Source organism: Homo sapiens, chromosome 1 (genome assembly GCF_000001405.40).
Source record: "Homo sapiens chromosome 1, GRCh38.p14 Primary Assembly".
In the NCBI taxonomy this organism is placed as follows: Eukaryota; Metazoa; Chordata; class Mammalia; order Primates; family Hominidae; genus Homo; species Homo sapiens.
Genome location: NC_000001.11, coordinates 151805986 through 151832117, shown reverse-complemented (window position 1 = coordinate 151832117; position 26132 = coordinate 151805986). Strand labels below are relative to the sequence as shown.

Below are 26132 nucleotides of genomic sequence, written 5' to 3'. Positions count from 1 at the left end.
GGAATAATAATGTTTCCCTGTGGTGGGTGCTGTGAATATTTACACAAAGTAAAAGCATGGATTTACATAAAGTGTCCTGCAAAGGGCCCAGCACACAGTAAGTGATTAATAAATGCTAGTTCCCTTCCTTTCTCCTGTCCTGTTTCTCCTCAAGGCTCCATGCACTGGTCCACTGGTCTCTCCTCATGTCCCCTCCTGGTGCCAGGACACTCTGCCAGCCACTCCTTTTCCCTGCCTGCTGGAGGGCCAGGTGCTCCCGCCTTCCACCCTCCGCCCTCCTCCCTCCCCTGGGCCCTGCTCCCTGCCCTCCTGGGCAGCCAGGGCAGCCAGGACGGCACCAAGGGAGCTGCCCCATGGACAGGGCCCCACAGAGACAGCACCGAGCCTCACGGGGTAAGAGGCCCATGGCCCTGCCTGCAGGTGGAAGAGACTGCTGGAGGTTCAGAGGAGGGCAGAAATGGCAAGAGACTGGGCAAGAAGTGAGGAGGGGAGGGAGGGACAAGAGTGCAGAGGAGAAAGCCCTGGGTTGGCAGGGAGTGAAACTGGAGGAGAAACAGGAGGAGGGGCTGGGGAGATGACAGAGGAGAAGAAATCGCAAAAGGAGAGAAACAGGAAAGAAAGGGAGAAGCGGGAGAAGGAAGAAACAGGTTGGAGGGTAGATGGGGAGGGAAGAGCCAAGTCAGGGGAGCCAGATCTAGACCCAGCGAGGGGTCAGAATGTGGACAGGCCCTCCCAGGTGTGGGCTTACCCCCCAGGAGGCACAGGGACACTGCTTCCTTGATCTGGCCAGGACCCCAGACAGCAGTGGCCGGGAGGCTGGCTGCTCCACCTTCTGTTCATTCACCAGTGGAGAAACCTGTCCTTTAAGGAGTGACAGACTTGGGGAGTGTGGCAGGGGGAACCACACCCTGTCAGCTGCCCATGACCACGTAGCCTGGTCCTTTCCTCGCCACTCACCCAGGGATGTGGGATTTCATCTCTGCAGAGAATGTGGGGCACTGGGCCATCAGCAGGGAAGGACAGAATGTCAGGCCGTCCTTGGCCCCACCCATGGTCCAAGTCAGGAACCCCCTCAGAGCAGGATCGCAGGGCCACAGGCTTGGTCAGCTGTGAGCATGGAGGAGGAAAGTTTGAGGGCCAGAGCCACCAAGCTCCAGGGCCACCTGGTGGAGGAAGAACTGGCTGCCTGGGTGAGCAAGGGGAGCACCCCCACCACAGGACTGCTCTGAGGTGCAAGGCTAGAGGCCAGGAGCCGGTGCCACGTCAGGGAGGAAGCTGGGTGGGGCCAGGCAGGAGCAAGGGGAGGTGGGCGGGGCTGGGTGGGGCCTTGCCACCTCGGGGCAGTCTTTTCTCCTCCCTCACCCCAGCAGAGCCCAGGCCATCAGGCCACTCGCCTCCACACAGCCTAGTGACCACGGCCTGCCAGTGGGGAGCATCTCCCGGGCAGAAGGGCACTGTGTGTGTGTGTGTGTGTGTGTGTGTGTGTGTGTGTGTGTATGTCAGGTGTCAAGACTGAACAGCAGAAGGAAAAAAATAACAGAATAGAGTCAGAGGTTAGGGAAGCTATAGGGGGTATAGGGCATGGTTGAAGGGCTTTCTGAGACAAAAGACTGGCCATGTGTTCTGTGATGAGCTGCTATGTGGATGTAGGAAATGGGCCAAGGTCTGGCAGGGGAATCCTCTTTCCAGGGGCTCCCTGGCTAGGTGTTTCATAGATGTTAACTGCATGAATGGGTGACACCCCCCCACCCACCAACCATGCTCCAGCTAAGGCCCTCCCCTCAACGGCTGCTCCCCCTGGAGGTCCGAGTATCCATGTGACCCCCATCGACCCACTCATGCTCCCTACTGCCCAATCTCCACCCAGACCCGGCCACGCAGCAGCAGCAGAGAAGGGAGGCCTTCCTCTTCAGGCTGGTAGGCCAGGGAAGCCTGGCCCGTGGAAGCCAGAGAGGGGTCTGTATTTGCAACTCTCCCCTCCTCTTCCTCCAAACATCCTCTCCCCCTACTCCCAACCCCCACATCTCTGAAGCCCTGGTGTTTTCAGGCATAGATAAGCAACCAAGAGATTTCAGTCCCACAGAGATTTAACTCTGGCTGTAGGATATTTCTTGTGCACCTCCAATGAAATTACAAAGTAAATAAGACCAACACAGTCCCTGCCTTCACAGGGCTTTACAATTTGGCAGGAAAGACCCATTTCATAGACAATGACACAATTACAGCAGTTAGGTGACAGTTGGTGACATGGTGAGTGCCAGGAAATAAAATGCAAGGAGCTAAATGTGTCAGCACAAGGGCAGGGGAAGGGGGTGTGTGTGGCTTCTCCAAGGAAGAAACATAATCAGAGACCTGAGGGAGAAAGAGAAGTTGGCTAGATTAAGGGGTACAGGAGGGACAGGCATTCTAGGCAAAGGAGCAGCTTGGGGGAGTCCCAGAGGCAGTGAGGAGCCTGACACTTCTGGGTACCTGGAAGAGGGCCAGTGTGGCCCAAGGGCAGAGGAGGAGAGAGGGGCACTGCAGGGGGTGGCCTGCCTGCCCTTCAGACGCCAGGCTCTGAGGGAAGGAGTGCGGCAGTGGGATCCTAGGAGTGGGGAAAGTGTCTCAGCCCCTCATGATCTTCAACCTTTGACGTCAACCCCCTCTCTTGTCTTTACAGAGCTGCTGGCTGCAAAGAAGACCCACACCTGTGAGTAGGGGGTCCGGGGCAAGAAAATGGCTGGGGCATAATGAGATGGAGAATAATTCAGCAAGTGATCTGTGGGGGGACTGAGGTTGGACAGAGGTGGAGGAGTCAGGAAGAGATGGCAGGCAACAGGAAAGCAAGGGGAGGTGCGAGGAAACCACAGATCAGGGCAGTGGGAGGAGATGAGGAAGAAGCCTGAAGCATGAAAGGAAACACTGTAAAGAAACCAGGAGAGAACAAAGGAAAAGGGAACCGCCTTGTGAAAAAAGGCGAGGAGAAATGCTGGACAGAGGCAGGGAGATGGGAGGGGGTGGGGCCGACTGCCAGGCCGGGGAAGGAAGGAGATAGAGGTAGGGGGGTGTGCGGAGGCGGGGTGGCCTCAGGAACTCAGGAACTCAGCGCTGCTGCCAAGGGAGACAGGGAGCCTGCACCAGGCTTTTTTTTTTTTTTTTTGAGACAGAGTCTCACACTGTCGCCTGGGCGGGAGTACGATGGCACAATCTCGGCTCACTGCAACCTCCACCTCCCAGGTTCAAGCGATTCTCCTGCCTCAGCCTCTCGAGTAGCTGGGACTACAGGCACCCACCACCACGCCTGGCTAATTTTTGTATTTTTAGTAGAGACGGGGTTTCACCATGTTGGTCAGGCTGGTCTCAGACTCTTGACCTTGTGATCCACCCCTCTCGGCCTCCCAAAGTGCTGAGATTACAGGCATGGGCCACTGTGCCCAGCCTGCACCAAGCTCTGTGGTCCTGAGCCAGGTTTGGTGTTCATCTCTGTGGTTAACACATCCTGAGGTGTGAACAAGCCTGGAGCCAGCCTGTGCAGGACTAGAGAGCAGGAGAGCTTTATCTCTGTAGGAAACAGAATGGACAGGGGCACTCTGTGTCCTGGGGCCCTGAAAGCCAGACTACAGCAGGTAAGAAGGGCACTAGAGCTCAGAGAGGACTTCCCAGTGGACGCTAGTGAATAAGAATCCTCTCTAGGGACCACTCAGCACATCAGCTCTCCTCTCCTAGTTTGTGGCAAAGGCTAGTCCCCCAGAGAATGCACACAGTCCCAAAGCTATGCCCATCAGGGCCATGCGTGCCCTTCTGTGAGCATGGGTCCCTGAATCGAGAGGATCCCTCCAGGGTAGGAGTGGCCACACCATTTCTCCATAGCCGTCCCTTGACTGCCTTGCCAGTTCCTCCTGAGAGCTCACTGCCATCTCGCCCAATGCCAAAATTGTCTAGAGCCTCCCTGTTCCAAGTAGAGACATCTCAGAGAGCAAAGCATTGCCCTTCTCCATGAGCTGGGCAGCCCAGGGCTGAGGGCCATCCAGGATGCTACCTCCTCCTGGGTGGGGGTTGCTTTGCTCAGCATAATCCTGATCAGTGTCTCGCCTGCCCCTAGCCACAGGGCCCCACGGAAATGCTGAGCAGGGCCCCGGGAGGAAAGCGGGTCAGGGAGTGACGCGGGTGAGCTGGGGGAGGGGGGTCACGGACCTTATGTGGGTGGGGGGAGTAGGGGGACTTTCGGAGCAGCAGGAACTGGGAGAGGTCAAACCCTATTCCTACCCTTAACCCCTGACCTCAGAAACCTCAGCCAGGACTATACCTCCTTATCCCTTTCCCATCCCACCAGTCCTCGTGTCCCCACCCCAAGAGTGTTGTCCTGAGGATCCAGGCTGACAGCCTCTCCCCCACTCCACGGCCCAGCTCCTGAAGCCCCAGGAAGGCCCAGGAAGGCAAGGAAAGGCCTGTGCCTGGATGAGAGGGTCTGGAGTCCCAGCAAGATCAGACACCTCTCAGGAGTTTGCCCCACAGAATCCAGGAGACATTAAGGCCTCCCCCAGGCCGAGAGACTCTGAAAATTGGCTCCTGAATTGAGACAACCCCAAGATGGGGGTCCAAGATGGGGAACCCGGGGGAACTCCCCAGACCAAGAGGGAGCCTGAATACTGAGGGGCCCTGAAGAGGGACTCTCAAAGCCAATGTACCCCACAAAGCACCTAAGAGGCTGAGAAGGTCTCTGGAATTGTTTGGCCCCTGAGAAGGACCCCCCTCCCCCAGGCCAAAAAACACTCCAGAGAGACTCACATACCGAGGGACCTCCCAGGCTGAGACACCCTCAAAAGCAGACTTGAACCAGAGAAACCCTCCCATCCTTCAAGTGGGATCCGAAGCCAGTCTGCCTGGGCTTGAATCCTGACTCTGCCACTTACTAGCTGTGTAACCTTGGGCAAGTTACTTAACCTCTCTGTGTCTCACTTTCCTCCTCGAAATGAGGATAATGGTAGCTACTTCATAAAGTTTTTTTATTTTTTCTTTTTGAGACAGAGTCTTACTCAGTTGCTCAGGCTGTAGTGCAGTGGCATTATCTCAGCTCACTGCAAACTCCGCCTCCCGGGTTCAAGCGATTCTCCTGCCTCAGCCCCCTGAGTAGCTGGGACTACAGGTGCTCGCCACCATGCCTGGCTAATTTTTGTATTTTTAGTAGAGATGGGGTTTCACCATGTTGGCCAGGCCGGTCTCGAACTCCTAACCTCAGGTGATCCACCCACCTTGGGCTCCCAAAGTGCTGGGATTACAGGCGTGAGCCACTGCCCCCGGCCCACATAAAGTATTTTGTGAGGATTAGATTATCCACATAAAACATCGAGAACCATTTCTGACACATAATAGTAAGCACTATTATTATGATTATGAGTATGATGATGGTGATGATGATCATTATCTACACTCCAATTTCAGCAGTTTGGCTCCTAAGGAAATTTCTGGTTTCCTTCTGTGGATTGTGGGTATTTGCCTGGTGATTATTACTGCTTCTATCATTTCCATGTATTCCCTAGCGCAAGATATATGTGGTGTCTGCAGGGAGGAGCGTGGGCATGGGAGTGGTGGGACAGCCCCCCAGGCTGCACCACACTGGGTATGGCTGTTGGCAGTCCACAGGGTGTCAGGTGGCACATGCCACCACCCCAGGCAGACATCCTGTGACTTACCTCTGAAAACATCCCTGTCCCTGAAGTCACCTGGCAAAGAGGGTCAGGCTTGGAAGGTCCTCGGGGGTAGGAGGAGTAGAAATTTGGCTTCAGGCTCGTGTGAGCTCCATTCTGGCTCCCCAGCCAGAACTACCCTGGCGGGTGGAAACAGCTTTTACCGCGTGTGGCTGTCGCATGTGGTTTTGGAATTTTCCAACGCCCCCTACGATTGGCTGCCCCTCCCCTCACACCCTGCCCCAGGCCCAGATTGGCCACGTGGGGCGCCTGTCATCCTACTCACTGCACCCCTTGGGGGTGGGGTGGGGGGTTGTCACTTGGCCACCTGTGTGGTGCAGAGCTTAAACCCCCCAGTCCAGAAGCACTGGGGGAGAGAGCTAGGTGCAGAGCTTCAGGCTGAGGCGCTGCTGAGAGGGCCTCGCCCCGCCTCTGCCGCCAGCTGCACCCCACTCCTGGACCACCCCCTGCTGAGAAGGACAGGGAGCCAAGGCCGGCAGAGCCAAGGCTCAGTCATGAGAAGTAAGTGAATGGGGCCACCTGGGGGCGGGGGAGCCTGGACCCTGTCGTCACCCCTCTGGAAAGGAGGATGTCTTGGGAACAGTGTGAGCAAATCTGAGCAAAGCAGGGTGCGTCCTGGTCAAGGTCAAGATCTGTTGGGAGATGGGTGGAGCAGCTGGGGAGTCCTGCTGGCCAGGCGGCTCCCTGACAGCAGCAATGGTAAGAGGACTGTTGAGGAATTCCTGAGTTCCAAAAAGAACCTCCAAAAGTATCTGAGGTATCCAGGCCCTTAATTTTACAAAAAGACTGAGAGCCAAGGAGGCCGCGTACTTGGCCCAATGTTACACAGCTGGTATCTGATGGGGGCTGGTAATTACTAGGGGCCCTGAACGCACTCTCCTGTTACAGTGTTTCCCTTGTTACGGTGTTTCCCTCTGTGCCTCCAGCCTGCTTGTGAGTAAAAGGAGGCCAGAGCAGTTGCTGTGCTCTGAAGCAACAGGACAGCGAGAGTCAACTGAGGTTGGCAGGCAGCAGGGCACAGAATCCCCGCGTCCAGGCCTCAAAGCCACCAGGCTTTCTGCCCAATCCAGGGACATGAGGACTATGTGGAATCCAGTCAGGGTGCACCCGGGCACATGCCTGCGTGTGTGTGCATGTGTGTGTGTGCGTGTGTGTGTGGGGTGTGTGTGTATGTGTGTGTGTGGTTCTCCAGGGTCAGTCACCCATTTGACCGGGGAAGCAAGGCAATGGAGATGGGATTGGAAAGACCTCGGCCTCACCCTTTTCCTGGCTTGGAGCCCTGGGCCAACAGTTGGTGGGCAGATGTCTGGGGTTCCTGTGCCTTCCAGCAGAGCAAGGGTGGGCAACCTCAGGAAGTCCCCTGTATTTGTTGTGAAGGGAAGCCAGGGAAGCCAGAGAAGCTCTCAGAGCACAAGGTGAAGGAGGAAAAGGGAAGCCCCATGCCCCTGTGGCTGAGGCCTGAAGCAGCCCCAGCTTCAACCTGGGGTCTTCCCACAAGCCACAGAAGGGAGGCCGTATTGAGTCCTGGAAAGACCCCTGGACTGACAGTGTAAGACCAGGCACTTGTGCCGCCTATCACTGGCTAGCCATATAGACTTAGACAAGCCAAGTCACTGGGCCCTGGTCTACCATCCGCAAAACAAGGGAGCTGAATTTTAAGATAGAACAACAAAACCAACTATGGAGAGTCTCCCATTCCAAAGGCCCAGGGCCAAGAGAGAGCCCAGTGCCCTAAGGCAGGCATCCCCAAGGGTGATGATGGAGACTCAGCTCTCCCAGAGGTTAGAAGGAAGGGAAACCAAGGAAAGAAAAGAATTCCACTTCTGTGACAGGGACTGAGGCCACAGTGCAGGCATATGAGCTGGGGTGGATAAGGAGGGCTGGAGAGAAGAGCCAACAGCTTCTACACAGAGGAAAGGGCCCCTTGGAGCTTCCGTTTCCCTTCTAGCTTCTCTCTATTAGCAGCAAACGCTGGCAGACTGGTCTTCCCAGAGATGGCCCCTAATGAGCAAATCAACCCTGGGATGAAATGACTAGGTGTGCTTCTAGCCCAGCAGCGGGGCAGGAGTCCCCAGGAGGGGCTGAGGGAGACACTTGGCCAGCTCTCCATTATTCCCACCCCCACCACACACACACAGCCCCACCCAGGCGGGGAAGTAGGAGAGAGGGCCTCCTCCAACGAGGGGGTCAGTGCCACTGGTCCTTCTCACTTGGACATTTACAGGTATCTCATAGCCCCAAGTTATCTGACCCCAATGAGTGCCAACCACCACCAGCCCCTCCAACCGCCGATGGCAAAAGTCAAAGCACATGGGGCTTGGGACTGTGACACACCCAGAGACCAAGGGCCCGACAAAAGGAGCAGAAACAAATCAAGAAATAAGGAGAGATGCAGAGGCCCAACTCAGAGGGCGAGTTTCTGGAACACCTAGGGAGAGAGTAATGTCCAGCTGGAGGTGTGGTTGGAGAAACACCAATAGAGCCAAACGCATGGAGGTGCAGCCGGGCGTGGTGGCTCATGCCTATAATCCCACTTCAGGAGGCTGAGGCTTGAGGCCAGGAGTTTGAGACCAGCCTGGGCAACAAAGTGAGCCGCTGTCCCTACAAAAAAAGTTTTTTTTAATTCGCTGGGCATGGTGGCGTGTACCTGTAGTCCCAGCTACTCAGGAGACTGAGGCAGGAGGATCGTTTGAGCCCAGGAGTTCAAGGCTGCAGTGAGCTATGATCAATGTCACAGCACCCTAGCTTAGGTGACAGAGCGAGACCCTGTCTCTTAAACAAACAAACAAACATGAAGGTGTGAAGCCCAGAAACAGAGCTGGAATGCAGAAGATCACAAGGCACATAGACACAGGGAGAGGCGGAGAGAAAAGATAACTGGCAGTAAAGGGAAGACAGGGAGACACAGGGTCTAGGCAAGCGGTAAGAGGGAAGTAGGGTGGCTCTGACAAGGATGGCACCAGCACCCTGCCATCCGACCTGCTGCTGTCAAGTGGAGATAATGTGTCTGTACGCCAAAGAGACTCCCAGCCAGCCAGACGGAGGGTAGCCCAGACATCTTCCCCTAAGGGCATGGCCAGCGTGGCGCCAATAGGCACTCAGGCCCTGGCATTTGGTCTGGATGGGGAGGTGGGAGGCCGAGGGGTGTGAGGTCACTGTCTATGAGCTGATCTTTCTTAGGTTTGGTCATGATCATGAGGAACAGTGGGCCAGAAAGGACTCCAAGTCCCCAGGGTACACAGATATCACCCTGAGAGCCCAGGGCCATCTTAGGACTCCGTGAAGGGCTTCTTCCTTCCTTTCATCACTCCAGCACCCTTCTCTTTCCCCGTCTTCCCATTCCTAACAGAAATACCAAACCACCGAGCCCAAGGTGCTAGACTCTGAAAAGACTCAGCTTGTCCCAGCACAATGAAAATATTCGGTCCCTACCAAGGGCTCCTCCCCATCCCCTGCCGCTGTGCTGCTGACTCAAACTAACAGGGAACAGGACTTTCCAAGGGCTAAGGTCTCTCCCAGGCGGGCAGCCCAAGGCCCGCGCTCCTGTTCCCATATAGCTAGTCCTTTCTGAAGTCTCACCTCCACGCCTGCTGCTGCAGTGCAGCCCCTTCCCTGGGGCTCTGAGGCTCAAAAAGGATGGAGATGTCTATTTCGGGGGAGGGACAGTAACAAGGCAGGGCCTCAGGGCCAGAGCCAAGGTCTTTCTGGGTCCACTACCCTCCTGGAGCAGTGAAGGTGCTCTGGGATGAGGGACAGATGGCCCTGAAGGCAGGGAAGGTGCTGATGGTGACGTCTGGGCTCCCACTCGCCAGAGCTTCCTCCTAGTGATTCATCCCCTCCCCCATTCACTGGTTGTTTTCACTCGCCTTTCTCCAGTCCCAGACTGTGGGGGTGGCGGAGGCACCAGGAGGGGGTTTCGGGTGGCTGGCTGGCTGTCATTCATGGCTTTTCAAAACCCCAGACTCTCCCTCGCCCACCTGAGTTTTAGCTTCACTATTTTCTCAGCCCCAGGATCTGGGTGTTTCAGCAGAAAATTCTCACCAGGAGCTGCGGTGAGGGCCCTGGCCTGGGCTGGGGGTAGTGTTCGCCAGGTAGAACCACTTCTCCCCCAGCCCCCACCCAGCCCTCCCGCTCCTGCTCCCCTGTGGTGGCACCCACCACCTTGGTTTCCAGCTTTGCAGAAGCTGGGGGAACTGAGAGCTGAGAAAGGAGGGAGGCTGGTGACAGGTTGGGGTGTGCAAGTGACCCCTGACCGGAGCTGTGGTCTCGGTGGGGATCGAGACAGAGAGTTCTGGCTGTGGGGAGAGGAGGAGCTCAAGCTAAGGAAAGAGATGCATTCCTCTTTCTCACTCATTCATTCATTCTGCAAAGGGAGGCATACCAAGATGTATGGAAACCTAGTCTATACCCTAAAGGGGCTGTGGTGTTCCTGAGGAGTCCCCGGGAACCCTGTTGTTGATATATAAGTCATCCCACTTGGCCTTAGAGAAAGGGGTAAGGGCAGGAGGAGGCTGGGACCTCAGAGGAAGAGTTGGGACAGAGGGAATAATATCTCTTGGGATCTTTATACAAACAGGAGTCCTGGCTTTAGTTCTGTGGGTTTCCTCTGTGAATTCTGTTCCTAGACCACCACAATCACCTCACACTTTTACCCCTACAGCCAAATAACCATGTCCTCTACCCAGGTCTCCGGTGTGCATTTGGGCGTCTTATCCTCATAAAGTATATAGCTTAAGGCTTGAGGGCACTGGCTGCAGAATTACAGAGATCTAGGTTCAAATGCCAGATCTGCCACTTCTGGCTGTGTGACCTTAGTCAAGCTGTTTATTCTCTCTAGGCCTCAGTTTTCTCATCTGTAAGATGAGGATGATACTAGCAGGGCCTATTTCACAGGGTGGTTGTGATCATTGAATGAAAATGCATGTAAAGCCTGGCACAGAGTAAGAATTCAGCCAATGCTTATGTCTATCATTATCCTTTCTCCTTAATCAGTATCCACTGGAGAAAAAGGAGAGAGAAAGAGGAGAGGAAAAGGCCCAGCTCTAGATTGACGAGGCACCAGGAGGAGATGAGGACCCCGGGGTTTCTCTGTGTGAACCCATTCTCTACCATGATGGTGGGGGGGTGGTGGTTCTGGGGTTTGAGAGGAGAGATCCCCCTGGGTTGCAGCCCCTCCCCTGCTCCTACCACTTCCTCTCTGTGGCATAGGGCACCTGGACAGGGCCCAGGGTTGGCTTCCTAAGCTGGCACAGGGCCAGGCTCTGGAAGTACTCAAAGCACTATCATTGAATCTCACAGCTGTGAGAGGCTCGATTAGAGGAGGATGGAGGACTTTGCCTCTACCGTATTTCCCCTCATAGGAGGAGCTACTAGGATGCTCCTGGGGGTACTTCAGTCTCTAAAGCAATTCAGAGGAGATTCAGTTTCTTTTTCTAGTATTGTCTCAGAATGAAGTCTTAGAGGTCACACTGGATGGCAGAAAAGATGCAAGAATGAGCTCAGGAAAAGATCGCCAACCCCAGCCCCACTCCCTGGAAGGAGCAGCCTGGCAAAAAGGCAGGAATAGGGACTAAGTTCTTGCTACTCAAAGTATAAGCTGAAGACCAGTAAGCTTAGGCACCAACTAAGAGCTGACCAAAGTGCAGAATCTTGAGTCCCACCTCAGATCCCCAGGTAATCTTGTTTGAGATGCAGAAAGCCATAGTCATTCAGTCATTAGATGACTTAAGGAGCTGGCGGGTGCATTTGGGCATTTGTCTCTCCTTTTGGAAGATGTGGAATTGGAGTTTTCTTTTGGAGAAAGCTCTCTCTCAGGAGAGAGCTACAGTGAGAGAGCTGCAGGTGAGATGCAAAGATCTTTCCAAGACAGCAGGCGAGGGTAGAGTTAGGGCTGCCATGGGAGCAGTGGTGCAGGGGCTGGTTCGAGGTTCCTGACCTTTGCTTGGCTCTAGTTCCTGGCACTGGCAGGCCCTTAGATGGTAAGTTCCTGGCAGGCCTGGCTCCAGGGCAACAGTTTGAGTAATCCTGTGATTACTCAGCTCCTTCTCCCCAATCTGAGTTCCCACCACCTGCTGCTTCAGGGACGTGTCTCCCAGGGGTAGCTTTTGAAGGTGAGTTATCATCAGAGGTGTTTTCAGCTCCTCTCACCAACCCCCAAGTCTACCAGCCCCCTTCCCGTTCTCCCCCACCCCTTCTCTACAAGTAACACACACCCTCATGTACACAGCACTGGTACTTTCTTTCTGAGGTTTGGGTGGATGGCATTGAAGGGAGTGCAGGTGGCAGGGGAAGGAGGGGGGAGCAGGACTAGAGGGCCTGAAGTGCTGAGGGGGCCATGGGTTGGGCAAAGGCCAGGATACAAGCGTGGATTTTCTGTGTTTCAGTGTTTCCGCAGCCGTCTCTCCATCCCTAGATCTATGTCTCTGTTTTTCCTGGACCCAAACCTCTTGGTCTCTCCAGCTCAGTGAGGCTAGGGGGTCTGACATTCTAGCTCAGAGTCTTTGGCCTTGTGTGTCTGTCTCACTGGGTACTTCTGTCTTGGACTGGGAGGATGGAGGATGGGCTGACCAGGTGGCTGGAGTCCAAGGCTTTGGTGTCGCCCAAACATGGGTATTTGCGAAGGGGGTCCTTGACTGGCCGCATCTTCCTATGAGAAGGTCAAGGTCTTGGTGACACTGTTGTGAGGTTCCTAGGGCCAGGAGAAGCAGTGGGTCAAGCATGGGGCAGGGAGATGTGTCTGGGGTCACCATGTGGTCAGCACACACACGCACGCGGATGTGGCTCTTGGAGAAGGGAAGAGGCAGGGAGGCCTGTGGTTGACTGCTGGGCCAGAGCCCGAGTTCCCACTGCGGCTTGGCCTAATCTCCCTCCCGCTTACTTTTTTGGGTGGCCCACGTTGGTTTCTCCCATCTCTGGTCTTAGGCCACTGAAAAGAGAGATGCCACAGTGTTGGAGGGGGAGGTGTTGGGCAAGAACAGAGTCCACAGGGCCCGAGTGCTCCTCTCAGCCTTGCCAGGCCCACTGGTCTTCTCAGCCTGACCTCTGCTCAGGAGTAACTTGAATACACAGTGCTTTCCATTGGTGATATCATTTCATTACTCTCTGTTACCTACAATCACCCCATGGACAGGCAATAATACTTTTATCCTGATCTTGCTGACAAGAAAACGTAGGTCTAGAGGGAGAATCTAAGTGACTAGAAGTATGGGGGCCCCAACGTTTTCTGCCCCTGTTCCAGACACCCAGTGCCCTCTTATTCTCTCTTCCCCTCCATGTATTAAAATCTGCTCTTAATTTACTGGAAAGAACCTGGAAAACTCACTTACCGCCTGGTCCTGGGGGGACCACAGCTTACAGTGTGAGCACTGGAAGCTTGCTGCTGGGCAGGCACGTGTGGCTGGGGGTTGGGTGAGGAATTGAGTGCTAATGAAGGGATTTCAGATACCCATGTGCCCTGTCCCCGTCAGGGTCAGCTACTGCCTCTGACTCACCTCAAGTCTGGCCTGAGGGATGATGGTTTAAGAATGATGGAAATAATATTTTGGGGAATGGCGGGCAAGCCATGGTCTCCCTGCCCACTTCACATCAACAGGCCCTACATGTGACCAGTGTCCAGGCCAGGGACTGGAGGTGAGATCACAGCAATGTGCATTCGCCCTCCAGAGAGGCTGCCACTTCTTTTGCCCCTTTGGTGGGAGACACGTCATAGATTAAAAGGGGCTTTGGCCCTTCTCTTCACTTTTCTGGCCTGTCCCGCCCCAGGGCTCCCCACTCAGAGGGGAGGCAGCAGGTCAGTGATGGTGGAAAAGAGACCCATGTGCTCTGGGAAATGCTAAAAACACCTACAGTAACCAGGGATCCCAAGCTTTGCCCAGCTACCTTTCAAGGAAGAGCTGGGAGAAGGCCTCCTGTGGTCCCATGAAGCTCAGCAGAGAGTCGTGGGCATTGACAGGAACAGGGCAAAGCAGAGATGAGCTTAGGGCCAGCAGCAAACCACAGGGGTAGGGAAGCAGGTACAGGTTACAGTGAGTTCAGTGGGAGAGAGAACCCGGGGTCCTAGTGCCCCATGAGCAGACACTAACATACAAATATGCACGTGTGGACGCAGGAGCAACCAGATATGTCGTAGGCTCACAAATGACACATACTTTTCTTGCATATGCACACCCACAAGCACACCTTCAAACATGCCCACTGAAATGTGTACCCGAAAAGACAGGTACACAGAACAGCATAATGGAAAGCTCAGGGGAACTGGGATGTAGATCCAGCTCTCAGGCAAACTAGCCTATGACCCTGGCCCAACCGCTTTGCCTCATCTGGCTTAGTCCTTCATCGGTAAATGAAGAGGTTGAATGAGATGGTCTCTAGTCTCAGCCATTTTTAACATTGATGATTCATGTTCACACAAATGGATACAGATGCCTTTGTACAAACATAAGTGTTCACACTCAGACACACGGATGTACACAAAGCCACCCTCTCTCTGCTCTGGGGCCAAGAGCCTAAGAGCCCTGGCTAATTCTTTCCCTAGGCTCTCAGGCATCCAGCAGAGCTGGGGTGTTGAGCCCCCGTTTCCTGGGTTCCTCCCTGCCACCCCCTCACCCTGTCTCTGTATAGCACCTCCCTGAGCCTTCACTGTCTGGCTGGGAAGGACTGGCATCTCTGCCTATCCCCCACCCCTTGTGTACCACATCTTCCTGCTATACCCTACACTTTGCCCATGGGAGCTGAGCCCCAGCGAGGGAGGGAGGCACAGAGGAAGCCCCTTCGGCGGGAAGCAGGTGTTGTGAGGCCGTGAGGAGTCCTATGTCCCAAGGCGGGAGGGAGGCAACTGGAGCTTTTCAACTCGAAGGGCTGAGCAGGTGGCCCCTCTGCAGCTGCTTTCTCTGCCTCCATAGCACTGATACAACTCCCGGCCACCCCTCCACACTCCCCTCCTCTGTGAAACAAACACAGCTTCCTCACACCCTTTGCTGAGAAGCATTTGGCATTTCACTTCCCCTTCCATTTTGCAAGAGGGAAACAGCAAGCTGGAGCTGGTTGGAGAAGTAGTGGAAGCACCAGGTACCTGTATCTGCAGCCCAGGTACATGGTGGTTGAATGCAGAAAAGCCTCCTGGGCTGACCTACTTCTCTTTCTCTCTTCCAGCACAAATTGAAGTGATCCCTTGCAAAATCTGTGGGGACAAGTCGTCTGGGATCCACTACGGGGTTATCACCTGTGAGGGGTGCAAGGTGAGTCATAGGCATGTGTATGCATGCATGTGTGCGTGTGCATACACAAGCGCGCGCGCGCGCACACACACACACACACACAGTGTCTCCTTAGAGATAAACAAGGGGGTTAATGGCCTTTGTTCTGACTCCAGGGATGATCTCCTGGGCAGCCAGGAAAATGCCTGAGTAGCGCCTTCCTGCAGGGCCCTCAACACTGGCAGGGCCCTGTCTTAAGCTGGGGAAATGACTACAGGATAAATTGCAATTACACAAATAGATGGAGGAGAGAGAAAACTGACAGGTCGTGGGATGTAGAAAAGCTGCCAGAGCTTGTGGGCTGGAGGCCTTTGTGAGTGAGCTGGGCCTGACCAGGATAAGCAGTCTTGCCCTCCACCTGCTTTCCCCAGGGCTTCTTCCGCCGGAGCCAGCGCTGTAACGCGGCCTACTCCTGCACCCGTCAGCAGAACTGCCCCATCGACCGCACCAGCCGAAACCGATGCCAGCACTGCCGCCTGCAGAAATGCCTGGCGCTGGGCATGTCCCGAGATGGTGAGGCCAAGTCGACAGCCCCCTGGGGTTTTCCTGGTGTCTCCAGAGGGGCAGCCTGGCCTGCTGAGCTAGACAAGGCTTAACCTGCAAGACGGCCCATCCTCTGGTCTCCTCTCCATTCCTCCCCGTTACAACCCCTTGTCTCCTCCCCTCCAGGGATGGATGGGTCACCCCCATCAAAGTTCTTTGGAGTCCCCAACTTTAGGCTTTGCTAGAACAAACATCCTCTTTCCAAGGTCCCATACCTCTTCATCTCTTCTTACTTGGAACGAATTCTCCTCACTCTGCTGCCCTCTGGCCCAGCTCCCATGCAGCTCTGGCACCTTCCCCTGCTACCCTGTTGTTGTAGTTCTAGCTCTATCTCCTTTTCTAATCCCCCATTCCCATACTTGGACACAGGACTATAGCCAGGAATGGAAACAGAATTGGCCTGAGAACAACCAGAGGGTGGTCGTGGGGGAGGGCTGGTGTTCCTGGTGCCTTATCCACCCTCCTCACCCACCACCTCCTCACCAGTCTCCCTGCACACCTCCACCACCACAGAAGGAGCCTAGGGTGGAGCTGGGGGGGCATGAGGTGATGAGGAGCCAGAAGGAGCCCGTCAGCACTTTTCAGTGCCCAAAATAACAAAGCAAAAGGAAGCACGCAGGGGTGCAAAGGGGCAGGCGGGGCGAGGGGCTGTGCCCCTACACCTGGGAGGGGTGGCGGGGGGAGTAAAAAGGCAGGAAAGAGAGAGCAGAAGAGGATGTTCAGAAACAAGCCGCGGAGCCCGGGTTGGGCTGTGGTGAGTATCTAGGTCACCAGGGAGCCTGCAGGCCTGACCACAGGGAGACCTGTGTTCTCAGCTCTCCTCTTCCTCCGACCCTCCCAAAGAGGCGAGGTGACCCCAATACAGCTTGAGGCCCTCTGCTCGACCACCCCCAGCCCCAAGATCTGGAGGCCAGAATCCCCAGCCTAGACTCATTGCTTGAATTCTGCCATGATTCAAATCTGATTTAGAACTTAGAAGATTTTGCTTAGCAGATTGAAATGGCAGACTGGACAGACCCCAGAAGCAAACAAGAGTGAGAGGTGGACGGGGTCTTGAGCATAAGTTCCCTAAAGGCTAGAGAAGCTGTGCTTGGAGTCAGCCATTCAGAGAGCAGCAAGTTAATCCTTTAATGACCAAATGCCTCCTGACCCTGCCCTGTGCCATGTTCTCCTGCCTCATAAACCCCTGGTCCCTGGACCTCTTTCAGCTGTCAAGTTCGGCCGCATGTCCAAGAAGCAGAGGGACAGCCTGCATGCAGAAGTGCAGAAACAGCTGCAGCAGCGGCAACAGCAGCAACAGGAACCAGTGGTCAAGACCCCTCCAGCAGGGGCCCAAGGAGCAGATACCCTCACCTACACCTTGGGGCTCCCAGACGGGCAGCTGCCCCTGGGCTCCTCGCCTGACCTGCCTGAGGCTTCTGCCTGTCCCCCTGGCCTCCTGAAAGCCTCAGGCTCTGGGCCCTCATATTCCAACAACTTGGCCAAGGCAGGGCTCAATGGGGCCTCATGCCACCTTGAATACAGCCCTGAGCGGGGCAAGGCTGAGGGCAGAGAGAGCTTCTATAGCACAGGCAGCCAGCTGACCCCTGACCGATGTGGACTTCGTTTTGAGGAACACAGGCATCCTGGGCTTGGGGAACTGGGACAGGGCCCAGACAGCTACGGCAGCCCCAGTTTCCGCAGCACACCGGAGGCACCCTATGCCTCCCTGACAGAGATAGGTGAGCAGCTGGGGAGGTGGAGAGGGTGGTAGAGATGAGGGAGGGGTTTCCACCAGTACCCCGTATCAATCAAACATGCGCCTGAGGGAATTGAGGGGTCCAGACGAGGGGCGGAGGGAGGAGGCGGAGCAGGATAGGCCAGGCTGAGAAGTGCCCTTGCATGGGTAGGCGTAGGAGCTGGCTGAGATCAAGCCATGCCTTCCTTCTCCGGCCCCAGAGCACCTGGTGCAGAGCGTCTGCAAGTCCTACAGGGAGACATGCCAGCTGCGGCTGGAGGACCTGCTGCGGCAGCGCTCCAACATCTTCTCCCGGGAGGAAGTGACTGGCTACCAGAGGAAGGTGAGGCCAGGAGACCTGCAGGAAGGGAACGTATCCCACCCCCACCGGGAGAGTTCAGAGATGGCTACCTGCGCACGACTGGGTCCTGGGGCAGGGCGGGACATCACAGACACAGGCTGGCCAACAAGCATGTGCACACCTTTTATGTACAGTTGCGAATGTGTGTATCTGTCTACACCCCAGCAGATGGATGAGCGCTTTTCCTTAGTTCTTGCCTATTAAAATTGTACCTGGCCTTCATCCTACCTCCTCTACCATGCAGACCTTGGTGCACCCTCCTTCCTCCTCTTCCATCAACAATAACAATAATCAGAACCCTGATTACCATTTGTTAAACACCCCTTCTCTGCCAGGCATTGTGCTAAACGCTTTATGTAAATTATCCTCAGCCCCTACCACAACCAACCTATGAGGGTGGCATTTATTCCTACTTTTAACAGACAGAAACTGAGCCTAGAGGGGTTAATAGGTTTCCTCAAAGTCACAAAGTGGTGGAACCAAAGTCAAATTCAGATTCATCAGGCTCCAAAGTTTATGCTGCCTTTTCGATCACACTCTCATACCACCTGCTCTAAACACACTCGTTTGGCACTTCACATTTGCTTCTCCAGGTTATTGAGACCTTGGGCATAACCTTTGTGGGGGAAGGGGCAGCTGTATGTCCTGTTCACCTCAACGAGATATACCTTGTTGGAGGGCAAAGCTGTATCTCATACTTTTTGGATTCCCTCACAACAGCTAACTCGGTGTCAGCAGCCGGTAGGTGCTCAGTGTGTGGGACTCACTGGCAGGAATCTGTGCATTTGTGCTAAGACCAGGCTTTTGAAAATGCTAGTTGAGAACATAGGAGTTCAGAGCCTACCCCTTGCAGTTTATTAGGTGGGGCTCCAGGGCTCAGGAGGATCACAGGGCCACACAGAGCGCTACAGCGGGACCCTCCTCCCTCCCTGCAGTCCATGTGGGAGATGTGGGAACGGTGTGCCCACCACCTCACCGAGGCCATTCAGTACGTGGTGGAGTTCGCCAAGAGGCTCTCAGGCTTTATGGAGCTCTGCCAGAATGACCAGATTGTGCTTCTCAAAGCAGGTGCCCAGGGATGGGTGGGCAGGCCTGGGGACAAGGGGACAGAGCCAAGTGGAGGGAGGTGGCTTAAGGAAATCAGGGGGACAGAGTCAGATCCTGGCTTTGCTTGACACTGTCCCTGCATCTTCTCTCCCCACTGCCCAGGAGCAATGGAAGTGGTGCTGGTTAGGATGTGCCGGGCCTACAATGCTGACAACCGCACGGTCTTTTTTGAAGGCAAATACGGTGGCATGGAGCTGTTCCGAGCCTTGGGTGAGGGGCAGGGAGAAATGAGAGGGAAGATTCTGATGCCAACCCCAGGCAAAGCTTTGTGACCCAGGGCACCCTCTTTTCAGGGCGAATTGCCCCCTCTGCTCTAAACACAATAAGGGCGGTGTCCTCGGGCACCATCGCTCCAGCCACTCTCTCACTTTTCTCATTTCCACTCCATCAGGCTGCAGCGAGCTCATCAGCTCCATCTTTGACTTCTCCCACTCCCTAAGTGCCTTGCACTTTTCCGAGGATGAGATTGCCCTCTACACAGCCCTTGTTCTCATCAATGCCCGTGAGTGTTGCTGGGCTTGGGTGAAGGACATTCAGGTGGCAGGGGCATGGCAGATATTGAAGAAGAGTCTAGACCTTCAGATGTAGTTAAATCTGGGAAATTGCTTTAAATAGCAGAATGAGCCCTACTCAGTATTGCTATAAAATAAAATGAGTTAAAATAAAGATTCAGAGGACTCTCAGAGAGGGACAAGAGCAGCATAAGGTGGGGTTGTGGGAAGTGGGGAGAAATGAGGTTGAGAGGAAATGAGCCACTTTCCTGACAGAAATGTGTCTGATTGTTAGTCTATGGCAGTGATTTCATTGTAGCACACATCAGAATCACCTGGGGAGCTTTAAAAACTATTGCTGCCTGGGTCCCACTTCCAGAGATTCCAGTGTACATGTGCTCCATGACTTATGATGGGGTTATGTCCCAATAAACCTATCGTAAGTTGAAAATATGGTAAGTTGAAATTGCATTTAACACGCCTAACTTACTGAACACCATAGCTTAGCCTAGCCTACCTTAAATGTGCTCAGAATGCTTACATTAGCCTACAGTCTGGCAAAAGCATATAACACAAAGCCTATTTTATAATAAAGTGTTGAATAGCTCATGTAATTTATTGAATATGGTTCTAAAAGTGAACAGCAGGATGGTTGCATGGGTATTCAAAGTATGGTTTCTACTGAATGCAAGTGGCTTTCTCACCAACATAAAATCAAAAAATAGTAAGTCAACTCATCATAAGACTGGGACCATCTGTAATTGATAAGGGGTGCACTGAATTTTAACAGCCACCCCCAGGCCACCAAGATTAAGAATCACTGCTCTGTGTGAACTAATTTTAAGGCTGTATGCCTATAATAGGAAGACTCTGGATATCCTATCCACTCCCCTGGCATGGAGTAGCTGGGCTGAGCCAGATGAATACTAAATATTCAGAGAACCTAGGGAAGTGGGTCAAGCTGCTAACCTGAGTTTGCAGATCGAGACTATCAGTCTTCTGGCTCTGCCAGTGAGTGGACACCTAAATATGCCCTTCAAACTAGAAGATAAAAACTTTAAAGATGACTTCTGGATATTTTATAGAATCAGGGCAAAAGTTAGTCACAGATTGCTGCAAGCCCCCTGGTGCAGGCCTGGGCACCTTCAGGAAGGCCACCTCCTATCAGGAGCCCTTTTCGTACATGGGGGAGCTCTTTTCCAACTCTTGTTACCCCTATGACAGAATCCTAGTGCCTAGCATTGAATGAGCTATGTGGAATATCAGGTTACCAGGGAGAAGGTAGCTTGGAGTCAGGAGATCAGAAATTCTCATACCTTTCATCTCTTCCCAGTTTTCCTTGTAGACAGCTAGCCAAGCCCAACGTCCAGAGCTTACCATTATCAAACCAAGGCACACACATGCACGCGCTCAGCTTAGAAGACCTCTATCCAGCACAGATGTCCACAAAGATACACCCTTTTGTTGGGAGTTAATGTCCATGTTCTTTCTTGTTCTCATTACGGTCCCACCCCCTCCTCCAGATCGGCCAGGGCTCCAAGAGAAAAGGAAAGTAGAACAGCTGCAGTACAATCTGGAGCTGGCCTTTCATCATCATCTCTGCAAGACTCATCGCCAAAGCATCCTGGCAAAGGTAGGAGCAGTCCCTGGGGTAGAAGAGGCCAGGCCCATCGCTAGCTCTGTAACATCAGAGTTTGCGAGGGCCGGGGTCTGTGGGTACAGAGGAGGGAGTGCGGGAGTACCACTCTCTGTTAGAGAGCTTGCATCAGCAGTGGGAACTAAGGGAATGAACAGCTACTTCCACGTGCATAAAGACTGGAAAGTTAGAGGGCCTGGGATTGGGAGGGACCTCCAGGGAACAATTCAGTTTAATATAGCCAGCACTTACCCAGCACCTGCTTGTACAAGGCACTGTGGAAAGACACAGAGATTTGGTCGCTGCCCCCACCAAGAGATTTTAATCTGGTATGAAGAAGAGATCTGTGTATCACTAACTCTAACATAGAGTAGAATGTGGTATGTGATATAATAATAATGCAATTAACAGAGTGCTTTTGCTGACATGCTTTCTCATCCTCATGGCAACCCAGTCAATAGGACAGGTGTTCAAATCTCCCTGTGTAGCAGCCGGGCACAGTGGCTCACGCCTGTAATCCCAACACTTTGGGAGGCCAAGGCGGGTGGATCACCTGAGGTCAGGAGTTCGAGACCAGCCTGACTAACATGGTGAAACCCCATCTCTACTAAAAATAAAAAAAATTAGCCAGGCATGGTGGCAGGCGCCTGTAGACCCAGCTACTTGGGAGGCTGAGGCAGGATAATCGCTTGAAACCGGGAGGCAGATGTTGCAGTGAGCCAAGATTGTGCCATTGCACTCCAGCCTGGGCAACAAGAGCAAACTCTGTCTCAAAAAAAAAAAAAAAATCTCCTTGTAGCTATCAGGAGACTTCAGTGACTTAAATGCAAGATTGAATCCCAGTGCTCTTTGCGCTCTTTCTATCCCTGTGTCCCCTATGTATAACTATAATAAGTGACACCAGGAAAATGTTATGAGAGTATAAAACAGGGATTAAAAATAATTTGGGGGTAAAAGGAGTGGGTCATAAATACTTCCCAGGGAAGATGACATTTATACTAGGCCATGAATGATGTAAGATTTTAACAGGCATTCATGGGGGTGGGGCAGGCATTCCAGGCTTAGGGAACAATAGGAGCAAAACAAAAAAAATGAAAAAAAATCCTTTTCCTGAGGTTTAACCAAAAAAATGGATGAGATGAGTATGAGAGGCTGGGGATAATTGTTTTATGGGATTTGGGTGTGGGACTAGGGTACAATGAAGACCAAGAACAACAGGAGAAAAATAAGGAGGCAAAATAGTGTGTATGTGGAGAATCACTCATGGTACATCCTCACTAAAGTGTAAAATCAGGAGCTGGGATAGACTGGTGGGGCAGAAGAGCACCAGATGATCAGCCTGAAAATTAGGTCAGGGGCAAATCAGAGAGGACTTTCAATGCCATATAAGCGTTAAAGCTTTATTTCTAGGCCACAGGGAGCTCCAAAGGCTAGAAAAATGACACAATCAGAGCTGTCATTTAGGCAATTTACTTTGGAACCAGTATAAAGGAACCATTTATGTAATTATTCAAGCAGGCCTTTGCTATGTGCCAGGCACAGGGCTGGGTGTTAAGGATACAGCAATGACTTACACGGTCTGTGCTCTCAAGAACTTGAACTTTAATCTGCTACAGGATGGATTTGAAGGAGGAGAGACAGGAATCTGGGAGAGCAATTGGAAAGCACATCCGGTTGGATCTGCTTTCAAAATACATCACCTTCCCTACTATTACCACCACCCTGGCCCCTACCAGCTCTCAGCTTTCACTTGGACTTTAAGAGAGGCCTCCTAACTGAGCCCCTGTTCCACCCTCATCTGCCCTGTAGCAACCACACCTACTCCGCACCCACGGTAGCCCTTTTAAAAATGCAATCTCATCATGCCCTACTCCTGTGGTTTTTTTCTTGTTTTTGTTGTTGTTGTTTGTTTGTTCTGTTTGTTTGTTTTGAGGCAGACTTGCTCTGTCGCCCAGGCTGGAGTGCAGTGGTGTGATCTCGGCTCACTGCAACCTCCACCTCCCAGGTTCAAGCGATTGTCCTGCCTCAGCCTCCTGAGTAGCTTGGATTACAGGGATTACACGCCCGGCTAATTTTTGTATTTTTAGTAGAGACAGGGTTTCACCATGTTGGCCAGGCTGGTCTCGAACTCCTGACCTCAGGTGATCTGCCCACCTTGGCCTCCCAAAGTGTTGGGATTACAGGCGTGAACCACCACACCTGGCCTTGACTCCTGTTCTCAGCCCTCCTGTAGCTGCCTGTGATGCCGAGAATCAAATCTAGAGTCTGCGTCATGGTCAAGTGGCTCATAACATGATCCCTGCCTTCTTTTCTCACTTGATCTTCCACTGCCCCTTCAAACACCCATTGCAGCCACACTTGCTTCCTTGCTATTCCTCGAACACATCAAACCCAGTCGCAGGGCTTTTGTACCTGCTATTGTAGTCACCTGGAGGGTTCTTCCCCCAGTTTTCCAAATGGCTTACCCCATCTCTTCATTCGGGAGAGGTTTTTCCTGACCAGTAACCCCATACAAAAAGCTTTAGTTTTCTTTAAAGAACTTATTATCTGATACACTACATATTTATTTTCTGGGCCCCTCACCAGAATGTAAATTTAATCAAGGTACAGATTATACTTTATTGACTGATATATCTGATATATCACTAGAGGCCATCACAGTGCCTAGCTCAGATCCAGATGTGTTCTCAACAAATATTTGTTGAATGAATGAAGGAAGCTATTGCCATAGCCCAAAAAAGCTCAGAATAAAGCAGTGGTGAGGAAGAGAGAGAATCTAGGAGATATGAAGGGATCACACCCTGCTGCCTGCTTTTCTCTGACTGCCTCTTTCCAAGGAAACTAAGCTGGGGGAGGGAGGCAATGGCAGGCAAGAGACATTTTTAAGCCTCTTGGTTGTAGAGGAGACTGCAAGAGATAAATTGTTCTTTCAGCCTTGCTCCAGTGAGGTCTCCCTGCCTCCGTCTGCTCACTGGTTTCTGTGCCTTTTTCATCTCCCCTTTGGCTGAGTGCTGGCAGCATTGGTTTGCTACTTGCAGTGTTAGGTGCCTGCTTAGAAAGTCTGTTTAGTTCAAAGAGTTATTAAGCATGTGCCATGTGCTAAGCATTATGATAGGTACAGAGGAGACAGGGAAAGAGAGACCTCAGCCAAGGAGCTGAAATCTAGGGTGGGAAGGCAGACAAATTGGACCATTTTCCTGCAATGTAGTAAGTGCTACACAGAGGAAAGCCCAAAAGAAGGGCCCTTAATCCAGATGGGAGGCAGTTAGGGAAATAGTCTTAGGAGAGGTGACACTAGAGGGTAAGGATTAGTAATGGGAAGAGGGGAACAACATGCACAAAGGCAGAGGCATGTGACAGCATACAACAAGAGTCACAGACAATCACTCTTATAAAAGCAGGAAGTGCACATTAGAGTCTTTGACAAGGTTCATTCTAGAAGTATTGGGAACATAAATTGAGGGCTTCACCCAGAAAACATTCACCTGTGCCCCACCCACTCTCACTTCCCTCCAGTGTCCTGAACACACACGTACTTCTACCAGTGGGATTTGGCTGGTGCCAAAGTGCCAAGTACATAAGGGGAAGGCAAGGAGGGTTTGTCCTAGCCCAGGAAGAATGAGCGGACTTCTTTGCTCTGAGGAGAGCTGAAGTATTGACCCTCCCTTCCCCATTAACCCATATCCAGCTGCCACCCAAGGGGAAGCTTCGGAGCCTGTGTAGCCAGCATGTGGAAAGGCTGCAGATCTTCCAGCACCTCCACCCCATCGTGGTCCAAGCCGCTTTCCCTCCACTCTACAAGGAGCTCTTCAGCACTGAAACCGAGTCACCTGTGGGGCTGTCCAAGTGACCTGGAAGAGGGACTCCTTGCCTCTCCCTATGGCCTGCTGGCCCACCTCCCTGGACCCCGTTCCACCCTCACCCTTTTCCTTTCCCATGAACCCTGGAGGGTGGTCCCCACCAGCTCTTTGGAAGTGAGCAGATGCTGCGGCTGGCTTTCTGTCAGCAGGCCGGCCTGGCAGTGGGACAATCGCCAGAGGGTGGGGCTGGCAGAACACCATCTCCAGCCTCAGCTTTGACCTGTCTCATTTCCCATATTCCTTCACACCCAGCTTCTGGAAGGCATGGGGTGGCTGGGATTTAAGGACTTCTGGGGGACCAAGACATCCTCAAGAAAACAGGGGCATCCAGGGCTCCCTGGATGAATAGAATGCAATTCATTCAGAAGCTCAGAAGCTAAGAATAAGCCTTTGAAATACCTCATTGCATTTCCCTTTGGGCTTCGGCTTGGGGAGATGGATCAAGCTCAGAGACTGGCAGTGAGAGCCCAGAAGGACCTGTATAAAATGAATCTGGAGCTTTACATTTTCTGCCTCTGCCTTCCTCCCAGCTCAGCAAGGAAGTATTTGGGCACCCTACCCTTTACCTGGGGTCTAACCAAAAATGGATGGGATGAGGATGAGAGGCTGGAGATAATTGTTTTATGGGATTTGGGTGTGGGACTAGGGTACAATGAAGGCCAAGAGCATCTCAGACATAGAGTTAAAACTCAAACCTCTTATGTGCACTTTAAAGATAGACTTTAGGGGCTGGCACAAATCTGATCAGAGACACATATCCATACACAGGTGAAACACATACAGACTCAACAGCAATCATGCAGTTCCAGAGACACATGAACCTGACACAATCTCTCTTATCCTTGAGGCCACAGCTTGGAGGAGCCTAGAGGCCTCAGGGGAAAGTCCCAATCCTGAGGGACCCTCCCAAACATTTCCATGGTGCTCCAGTCCACTGATCTTGGGTCTGGGGTGATCCAAATACCACCCCAGCTCCAGCTGTCTTCTACCACTAGAAGACCCAAGAGAAGCAGAAGTCGCTCGCACTGGTCAGTCGGAAGGCAAGATCAGATCCTGGAGGACTTTCCTGGCCTGCCCGCCAGCCCTGCTCTTGTTGTGGAGAAGGAAGCAGATGTGATCACATCACCCCGTCATTGGGCACCGCTGACTCCAGCATGGAGGACACCAGGGAGCAGGGCCTGGGCCTGTTTCCCCAGCTGTGATCTTGCCCAGAACCTCTCTTGGCTTCATAAACAGCTGTGAACCCTCCCCTGAGGGATTAACAGCAATGATGGGCAGTCGTGGAGTTGGGGGGGTTGGGGGTGGGATTGTGTCCTCTAAGGGGACGGGTTCATCTGAGTAAACATAAACCCCAACTTGTGCCATTCTTTATAAAATGATTTTAAAGGCAAGAAGTGTGTGTGTCAGAGGGTGGGGGAGATTCTTAAATTAGATTACCTGCATGCCTGCTCTCCAGTCTCATTCCTGGGTCAAGAC

The 26132-nt window shown here is 53.0% G+C and overlaps 1 protein-coding gene across 4 annotated transcripts, besides 7 other annotated features; it reads left to right on the top strand.

The window, feature by feature from the left end:
• Nucleotides 316-26047, top strand: RORC (RAR related orphan receptor C). 4 transcript variants are annotated; one of them, XM_006711484.5, is made up of 12 exons: nucleotides 316-393; nucleotides 986-1190; nucleotides 2660-2689; nucleotides 14838-14923; nucleotides 15313-15454; nucleotides 16693-17205; nucleotides 17423-17544; nucleotides 18498-18630; nucleotides 18772-18879; nucleotides 19061-19171; nucleotides 20684-20793; nucleotides 24485-26047. In XM_006711484.5, the coding sequence occupies exons 2-12, from the start codon at nucleotides 989-991 to the stop codon at nucleotides 24644-24646; spliced, it is 1719 nt and encodes a 572-aa protein (XP_006711547.3). In that variant the 5' UTR covers nucleotides 316-393; nucleotides 986-988; the 3' UTR covers nucleotides 24647-26047. The 4 variants fall into 4 exon arrangements, with proteins under 4 accessions (XP_006711547.3, NP_005051.2, NP_001001523.1 ...); NM_005060.4 differs by lacking the exon at nucleotides 986-1190; NM_001001523.2 differs by lacking the exons at nucleotides 316-393; nucleotides 986-1190; nucleotides 2660-2689 and adding an exon at nucleotides 6022-6188.
• Nucleotides 1008-1695: an enhancer, noted in NCBI's record as "H3K4me1 hESC enhancer chr1:151802899-151803586 (GRCh37/hg19 assembly coordinates)". NCBI's record gives its function as "activates a minimal SCP1, AML or CMV promoter by ChIP-STARR-seq in naive H9 embryonic stem cells {active_cell/tissue: H9 hESC(naive)}" and the evidence as "EXISTENCE:reporter gene assay evidence [ECO:0000049][PMID:30033119]".
• Nucleotides 2382-3067: an enhancer, noted in NCBI's record as "H3K4me1 hESC enhancer chr1:151801527-151802212 (GRCh37/hg19 assembly coordinates)". NCBI's record gives its function as "activates a minimal SCP1, AML or CMV promoter by ChIP-STARR-seq in primed H9 embryonic stem cells {active_cell/tissue: H9 hESC(primed)}" and the evidence as "EXISTENCE:reporter gene assay evidence [ECO:0000049][PMID:30033119]".
• Nucleotides 6329-7264: an enhancer, noted in NCBI's record as "H3K4me1 hESC enhancer chr1:151797330-151798265 (GRCh37/hg19 assembly coordinates)". NCBI's record gives its function as "activates a minimal SCP1, AML or CMV promoter by ChIP-STARR-seq in naive H9 embryonic stem cells {active_cell/tissue: H9 hESC(naive)}" and the evidence as "EXISTENCE:reporter gene assay evidence [ECO:0000049][PMID:30033119]".
• Nucleotides 9034-9533: an enhancer, noted in NCBI's record as "H3K4me1 hESC enhancer chr1:151795061-151795560 (GRCh37/hg19 assembly coordinates)". NCBI's record gives its function as "activates a minimal SCP1, AML or CMV promoter by ChIP-STARR-seq in naive and primed H9 embryonic stem cells {active_cell/tissue: H9 hESC(naive and primed)}" and the evidence as "EXISTENCE:reporter gene assay evidence [ECO:0000049][PMID:30033119]".
• Nucleotides 9534-10035: an enhancer, noted in NCBI's record as "H3K4me1 hESC enhancer chr1:151794559-151795060 (GRCh37/hg19 assembly coordinates)". NCBI's record gives its function as "activates a minimal SCP1, AML or CMV promoter by ChIP-STARR-seq in naive and primed H9 embryonic stem cells {active_cell/tissue: H9 hESC(naive and primed)}" and the evidence as "EXISTENCE:reporter gene assay evidence [ECO:0000049][PMID:30033119]".
• Nucleotides 16677-17177: an enhancer, noted in NCBI's record as "H3K4me1 hESC enhancer chr1:151787417-151787917 (GRCh37/hg19 assembly coordinates)". NCBI's record gives its function as "activates a minimal SCP1, AML or CMV promoter by ChIP-STARR-seq in primed H9 embryonic stem cells {active_cell/tissue: H9 hESC(primed)}" and the evidence as "EXISTENCE:reporter gene assay evidence [ECO:0000049][PMID:30033119]".
• Nucleotides 22772-23272: an enhancer, noted in NCBI's record as "H3K4me1 hESC enhancer chr1:151781322-151781822 (GRCh37/hg19 assembly coordinates)". NCBI's record gives its function as "activates a minimal SCP1, AML or CMV promoter by ChIP-STARR-seq in naive H9 embryonic stem cells {active_cell/tissue: H9 hESC(naive)}" and the evidence as "EXISTENCE:reporter gene assay evidence [ECO:0000049][PMID:30033119]".

What these genes read in the sequence shown, in the direction of transcription:
- RORC (XM_006711484.5), top strand. Translation starts at nt 989, where the DNA reads ATGTGGGGCACTGGGCCATCAGCAGGGAAGGACAGAATGTCAGGCCGT. An exon ending in GCTGGGCATGTCCCGAGATG is followed by an intron (nt 15,455 to 16,692) that starts GTGAGGCCAAGT and finishes GACCTCTTTCAG; the next exon opens with CTGTCAAGTTCGGCCGCATG. An exon ending in TGACTGGCTACCAGAGGAAG is followed by an intron (nt 17,545 to 18,497) that starts GTGAGGCCAGGA and finishes CCCTCCCTGCAG; the next exon opens with TCCATGTGGGAGATGTGGGA.